Raw genomic sequence first — 8,116 nt, forward strand, 5'->3', positions numbered from 1 at the left:
CCACAAATGGGCAGCATATGTGTTCTGTCTGCCCCTCTATAGCAGGGATGTGGGGATTGCAGACAGACGCTCAGGACCCTTGGGTTGGGGTGGGTGAGATCCTGTTACTGGCTGCACATGTGGGGCCCACAGAGCTGCTCAAGTCATTCAGGGGGGCTGGAAAATGGACAGCTTGCCAAGCACTAAAGCTGGATGACTTTGCTCTTCTAACCCCCCTATACTCATTGCAGACAGGCTTCTTCACGCTTTATTCTGCTATTAGGTAACTTTTTTTTAAAGTTAAGTTTTTTGTTCTCATTTGGAGCTACACAGTTCTGTTTTGATGGCTAATCTCCCTTCCTGCTGTTGCTTATCCCAGAAGCCCCTTGGACAGGCTCCTCTCCAGCTATAGGTGATTTCCACATGGCTGCAGTTCCCTTGCAGGTGGCTGGATAAGGACAGCGGCCACAGAAGCAGGGCGAGGCACGCCTCAGCTGTCAAGGCTTAGGCGTGATGGCCCCCAGAGGTTACCCAGGTGCTGTCTCTTGCCTGTCTCTTCATTTTCCAGGATGGCAAAGTCCTGAGCAAATGTAAAGGCCTCCAGAGGTGGCCGTGAGGGATCACTTGCTTCCCGGGATGGCTGGTGGGGGACAGCCTCTGCAGGCAGGCCCGGGGGGTTCCCATCCTTGCTCCAGGCAGCACCACTCCTGAGTCTGTGTGATCTGGGGTTGTGTTCCTTCATCTCCCGCCCCAATTCCACCTCCATCTTTCTAAGGTCTCTAATAAGAGGAGTTATTGTAAAATTTGCCTACAAAGGAATCCACTGACTCACTCATTTTATTCATTTAACAAACATTTGGGAATCACATTCCACGTTTCAGACAACGTGCTCTGCAGTAGGAATTTGAAGATAAACAACATGAGTTATTTGTCTGAGGAACTCATGGTCTTCAGAGGAGGTCGACTTATAAATCAAGGAAATAGACTGTCCCAGCTCTCTCCAGCTTTGGGGCACAAATGACATCACATTAACACTAATGTCCAAGCCACCATGACTTCTTGGATGGCTCCTGCAGAACTGCAAAATCTTAGGCTGTTCTCCACCAGCCCCTTCCACTCCCAGTATTATTTCCACGAGTACCCAAGGGGCAGCATCCTGCTCCTCTCACAGCTATCAGAGCAGTTCCAGTTTCTATACAGGAGGATGGGGTTAGCCAGCCTCCAGCATGACAGCAGGAGCATTGCCAACTTGGACAAGCACCATCATTTTAAAGTTCACCTTGATCAAAAACTGCCTAAATCCAAAGGACATCAGCCTAATGGCTCAGGTCAGCATGACCATAAACCACAAATGACATTTCCGACCGGAAACATTCCAGCCATAAGATAAACCCCTCCCCTACCTGAGAGATGTCAGCCTTAAGATAATCTCCCCTCCAGCCACAGGCATTACAACCCCACCATAAACTTTTCCTGAGAGAGGGCTCCTGACGGAAAGTGGCCAGAAGCCCCTCTCAAAAATAAACCTGTCTTTGACTGTTGAGCCACTTCATGTGTTTCTTTCCTCTTTCTTTAACTCTTACGCAAGATGCTTCTAAATGGCCTTGCCTTTTAGTGTTCATGCCCTCACACAGCCCTCTCCCATGGCGAATCTGGGCTGACCCAAAACAAAAGCCGGTGGAAGAAATGGTGCCTGCCTTTTGAGGCAAGGTCATGGAGGCATATAGCTCCCACTTTGCCTGTGGGATCACTCATCCTGGGCCAGGCCACTGTGGGAGGGAGCCATTCGGAAGCAGGTCCTTCAGCCCCGCCCAGGCCTTCAGATCTGCAGGAGCCGTTGATATTTTCACTGCCGCCTCATCAGAAACCCAGGCAGAACCACACAGCCAAGCTTTTCCCAAATGCCTAATCCACAGAAACTGTGAGAAATAAAAATCTTGTTTTGTTTTAAGGCACGAGGTTTTGGAGGGATTTGCTATGTAGCATTCTATGACTAACACACATTCTGTGGAGCAAACCCTCTAGCACTTGTTGTGTCTCATTTGGGCCCCAAATCAGTACCACTGGAGACTCAGCCTCCTACAAAGTACCCAATAAAAACAATTTCTTCTGCTCCTTGTTCTAATTGCTGTCTACATAAAGGCACAAACCCAAGGCATCAGAAGCTGCGCCATCATCCTGTCTGCTGCCTAGACTGTGGGCGTTTCCTTTCCTCCCTGTGAATCAAACCCCACTTTGTCTAGTTGGTAGTGGATCTGACTTGATTGCAAGAAAGGGAAGCCCTTCTTCCACTTAAGAGGATGAGTTGTGGTTGGTCTAACCAAGACATGGTCACCTAATCTTTTTTCATCCAAGACAGGATCACTGCCTCATGACGGGCAATGCTGTGGAATAAACGTGCACTGGGGATCCCCTTCCTTCCCCCATACTAAAGCATAATCTCCCTTGGAGAAAGCTCCTTGCTTCCCTCCCTTTCAGCTGTCTCCCAGTCTTGACCCTGGAAGTGTCTGAAGGCCTAGCCTGTGTCTTACATTCATAGGGCAACATGTCAACGTTTTTAAGAATGTTACAGCAGCTGGGCAGGTTGGCTCATGCCTATAATTCCAGCATTTTGGGAGGTTGAGGCGGATGGATCACTTGAGGTCAGGAGTTTGAGACCAGCCTGACCAACATGGTGAAACCCAGTCTCTACTAAAAAAAAATACAAAATTAGCTGGGTGTGGTGGCACACACCTGTAATCCCAGCTACTTGGGAGGCTGAGGCAGGAGAATCACTTGAGTCCGGGAGGCGGAGGTTGCAGTGAGCTAAGATTGCACCATTGCACTCCAGCCTGGCGACAAGAGTGAAACTCCGTCTCAAAAAAAAAAAAAAATTTACAGCAGAACTTCATAATGTTTTTAAGCCGCTGTGTCAGTTCATTTCTAACTACACTCAAACTTCCTGTTACAGGGGAAAAAGCAAATATATCCATTTGTTTATGCAACTTGTATTGCTTTGTCTTTCTGGTAATTCTGCTCTCCATTCTGTGGTCATGCTCCTTCCTGGGAATGGACTTTGTCTTTTCCAAAATTCCACAGAAAAATGCTGAAGAAATAGAAGATGAGGCCAAGCATGGTGGCTCACACCTGTAATCTCAGCACTTTGGGAGTGCAAGGCGGGTGGATCACTGGAGGTCAGGAGTTCGAGACCAGCCTGGCCAACATGGTGAAACCCTGTCTCTACTAAAAATACAAAAATTAGCTGGGCATGGCGGCACGTGCCTGTAATTCCAGATACTTGGGAGGCTGAGGCAGGAGAACCACTTGACCCTGGGAGGCAGAGGTTGCAGTGAGCAGAGATCGCACCATTGCACAACAAGAGTGAGACTCCATCTCAAAAAAAAAAAAAGAAAAAGAAAAAAGAAACAGAAGACAAATGTGCTTTCAATCCAGCATTCCTCAGAGTCTGTAAGTTGGCTTTTCAACAATTTATCCACTTAGTTTTCCATTTTGATGGGGTGGCATTTCCGGTTGTGTGTCCACATCTGTATGGTTTCTGTGTTCACAGAGGAAGAAGGCAGGGCTTGGGAAGAGGCAGCCATCACTGCACATTCCCTGGGAGGGATTTTCGCATGGCCTGTGGGCTTTTGCTTGCTTATTCGGATCAGAGAAACAAATACATAGAGACTAAGGACAATTTTCAGTGTTATATTGCCCGCAGCTCTCACTGCTCGCAGAAGAGTGAGCGGGACTGTGCATGGGGCCTGGGAGAGGATATTTTCTTCCCATGCATACATGAGGGAAGGCTCTTTATTTCGAACAACTCAAAATTTAAGGGGTAGAGTTGAACACATACGAGATGAAGCATGAAAAAAAATTACTGATTTTATTTCTTTGACTTCCTGAGCACGTGCACACCAGAATGAACACTACAGCAGCCGGGAGTGTCATGGGGCCCCTTGAAAGTGAGGTGCCCCTCATCACCCACACTGTGGCCCTCCTCCCTGGCTCAGCTTCCTTTCACCAGGTGAATGGTGGCGATGGCCTCTTGACCTGAGAAACCAGCCTTCCTTTTATGCCTGTGTGCCTAAGCTAAAAGATCAACAGCTGTCTCCCCTTCAATGTGTAGATATTACAATCTGAAAATAAAATCCTCTTTATCAAAACAATAATCTGAAAATTAGCATAACGTTAGGTTCCTGGTATTATAGATGAAGAAATTAGAGAAACATTTTAATAATAGCACTGAGGAGGGATATTTTACTGCTCAGTTGGTGAGTTAGAGGATACAGTTACTGCCAAGAAATCTTTCTGCTTTTATTTTCCTTACTGAACAAATCAATGAATAATACAGATATAGATGCAAGGTGTTCTGGCCCAGTATCCCTGTGACATTCTGTATTTCCTTATCTAATTGGCTGCTTAGCTTTTTGTCCATCACGTATCTTTACTGTGTATCACCTATTTATCTCTCTGTAATTCCATCATCATAATTCCCATCCCCATCAATGTTGCCTTTCCAACTAGAAGTCCATGCAGAGTTCCACAGTTCTTAACCACACATAATGTCTCACACAAAATAACTGGTTTAGTAAATATTTCTTTTTAGTTGTTGTTTTGTGGAAATTCTTTAATTTTTGTTCATTTGAAAAGAAAAGAACATCAAGCAACCCAAAAAGTGCAAAGGAAAAAAAATTCATTCAAATTTTATTATTCAGAAATAAACGTTACCTTTGTGACTATCACTCCAGTCTCCTTTCCGTGTGGATACTGGTGAAAGGGTCAATAGATAAACACATTATTATATAGGATTCTGTTTACTAATTAAAAATAAAGTTATAACAATCGCCATTGAATTTAATAAAAGAAAAAAATGAAATAATTGTTGAAATTCAGATAAATGTTTCTTCATCAGAGGTATTCATTTCTGTAAGATTCTTCTCAAATTTAAAAAGGATTGTTTATGCTTGTATTTCTAACTATTTTAAGCATTTTTAGGCATTTTCTGTTGATTCTCAGCTCTGAAATATGGGGCAATTGGTACAATCTTGGGTCCTTGAATAGTTTTTCTTAAAATGTCCTGACTTTTAAAAAGTTATATAATCATGCCTGTAATCCCAGCACTTTGGGAGGCCGAGGCAGGCGGATCACGAAGTCAGGAGATCAAGACCATCCTGGCTAACACGGTGAAACCCCATCTCTACTGAAAATACAAAAAAAAAAATGGTGTGAACCCAGGAGGCAGAGCTTGCAGTGAGCCGAGATCGCACCACTGCACTCCAGCCTGGGCAACAGAGGGAGACTCTGTCTCAAAAAAAAAAAGTTATATTAAAATTTTTCTATTTTCAAAGTTCCTAACACTTCTCTTTTTTCACCAAAGTTTTCTAGTTCTTTAGTCTTAGTTTTATAGTTGATAGATTTAGAACTCACCACCAGTCTTTTTTTTTTTCTTTTTCTTTTTAGTTGACCTGGAATAAGTGTACATATTTATGGGGTAAGAGTGATATTTTCATACATGTATACGATGTGTAATGATCAAATCAGGGTAATTGGGATGTCAGTCACCCCCAACATTTATCTTTTCTTTGTGTTGGAAACATTACAAATCCTCTCTTGTAGCTATTTTGAAATATACAATAAATTACTATTAACTATTATTTCCCTACTCTAATATTGAACAGAAGATAGTATTTTTTCTCTCTGTGTTTTTCTACTCATTAGCCAACCTTTCCTCATCCCCCTATCGCCTCTACCCTTCCCAGCCTCTGGCAACCACCAATCTACTCTCCACCTCCATGAGATCCACTTTTTAGCTCCCACATATGACAAAATATGATATTTGGCTTTTATGTCTGGCTTGTTTTACTTAACATAATGACCTCCAGTCTCATACATGTTGCTGCAAATGACAAGATTTCATTCTTTTTAATGGATGAATAATATTCCGTTGTGCATATGTATCCTACTTTCCTCGCTTATCCTTTGATGGACACTTAGGTTGATTCCATATCTTGGCTATTATGAATAAAAGCTGTAATAAATATGGGATGCAGATACCTCTTTGATACAATAATTTCCTTTCTTTTGGATAAATACTCAGCAGTAGGATTGCTGGATCTTCTGGTCATTCTATTTTTAGTTTTTTGAGAAACATCCATACTGTTCTCCATAGTGGCTGTAGAAATCTACATTCCCACCAATGGTGTATAAGAGTTTGCCTTTCCTGCAGCCTCACCAGCATTTGTTATTTTTTGTCTTTTGGATAATAAACCATTCTAATGGGTGAGATGATACCTCATTGTGGTTTTGATTTGCTTTTCTCTGATTAGTGATGATCAGCATTTCACCACTAGTCTTTGACTACAGTTTTTCCTTTTTTAAAAAAATTATTTTGATTCATCTTTCAATTGGCTAAATTTCATCATTCAGTTTTTCTTTTTCCAATAAGCGCTCATGGAATTCTTGAAGTATTGCCTGCTTGACAGCATCTGCCTTTTTTTTTTTCTACGTTATATACAACTTGGCTAAGTATGAAAATTTTGGGTGACACTCTTCCCACTCAAAACCTTTTAAATAACACTGCACTGGCTTCTGGCATTGAATATTGCACTGGAGGAATCTGAGCCCAGCCCAGTTATTCCCCTTGTATGTCATGTGGATCTTCTGCCTAGATGAACATGTAAATCTTCTGTACCCTTGGAGTTCATTGTCTACTCTGCACCAAACTTGGTGTTGATTCCATTTCATGTGTGTGTGTGTGTGTGTGTATGTATGTGTGTGTATTGAAGGCTGAATTTTAACAAGCTGTAAAATCAAGTATGTCATTATTTCAGGACTATTTAATCCTTAGTTTCTGTTGATACTTTGTGAGTCTTTAAATAATGAATTTATTATTTTTGTTAATGTAATATATGCACATAATTTTGGAGTTGAATATTCTTTGGCCCACACTTCTCCAGTTCCCAACCCTATTTTCCAGAGCCAACCAATTCATATGTTTTGTTTCTTTTTATATTTCTATAGTTCTAAATAACAAGCTTATAATATTCTTTCTTGATTTTTAGACTTTGGACATTACTTAATAACTTCCTTTGGTGAATGCTGAGATTTTTCCCTCTTAGTCTATGCACTCACCCTCAGCTAACCAACATAGTTATAACCTAATTTTGGTTGAATTTGTGCTTTGAGTTTACATTATTTTAAGTATATAAACAACATTGATTGCTTTTCATCTCTAATGGAGACATGTCTCCAAGCAACCAGCACTTTCCCCATCTTCCTTACCCTGTTGTATTTTTTTTTATTCCACAGCCTGTACTTGTCTTTCCTCTCCTAAAGAATGCAATCAAAGGACTTCATCTGTTTTGTTCCTGCTTCACTTCAGAGCCTAAAACAATGCTTGACTTGAAATCATTACTCATCCAATACTTGCTAAGTGGGTAAATGCTGAGAAGACAGAGTGCCATAGTTATATACTCTTTGCTGTACAACTTTTTGTTTTTCCTTAAATTAGTAATTGCCTCACTTTTTTATTTGCTTGTCTTTAATCATGTAATCATAATTACATGTAATCATAATTGATCCTTCCAAAATGTCCAAAGGAGTTGTAACCCCATCTTACAATTCTGCTTCTGTCTTTTGTAACAGTTCACATAATCTCCCCTCCACACCATGAGCCTCCCTGGTTTCCAGGGCTGTGACAGCTGTATGCTGGGCTCTCACCTCATCATCTAAGATTCTCTTTGCTCTTCTCCCTGCTTCCTGTTTCCTGTTTCTCATTTCTCCTCTTCTTGATTTACTCCCTCACTTTTGTGGAGCACACCTTCCCATGATTCCTGGAAAATGGGGTAGAGATACTGTTTTGCCCTGTTGCACATCTGAACTGTTTTTATTCTCCTATTTGTTATTTGGAAGGGACTAGAATTCTAAATCAGCAATCCTCTTCCTTTGGAAATTCGAAGGCATTGCCCCATTATCTTCTAGCTCCCGTCGTTTCTGTTGAGAAGTCCGTTGCCATCCTGGCAATTTCTCTCTCTCAAGCGTTCTCTCTGGAATTGTTTAGAATGTTTGTTTTAACTCTGGTGTTCTGAAACTTCATTATTATGTTTTGTGGAGTGGTTCTTTTCATGAATTATGCTGAAAAACCGAGCTCTTTATT

The sequence above is a fragment of the Homo sapiens genome, chromosome 18, assembly GCF_000001405.40.
Source record: "Homo sapiens chromosome 18, GRCh38.p14 Primary Assembly".
Lineage (NCBI taxonomy): Eukaryota > Metazoa > Chordata > Mammalia > Primates > Hominidae > Homo > Homo sapiens.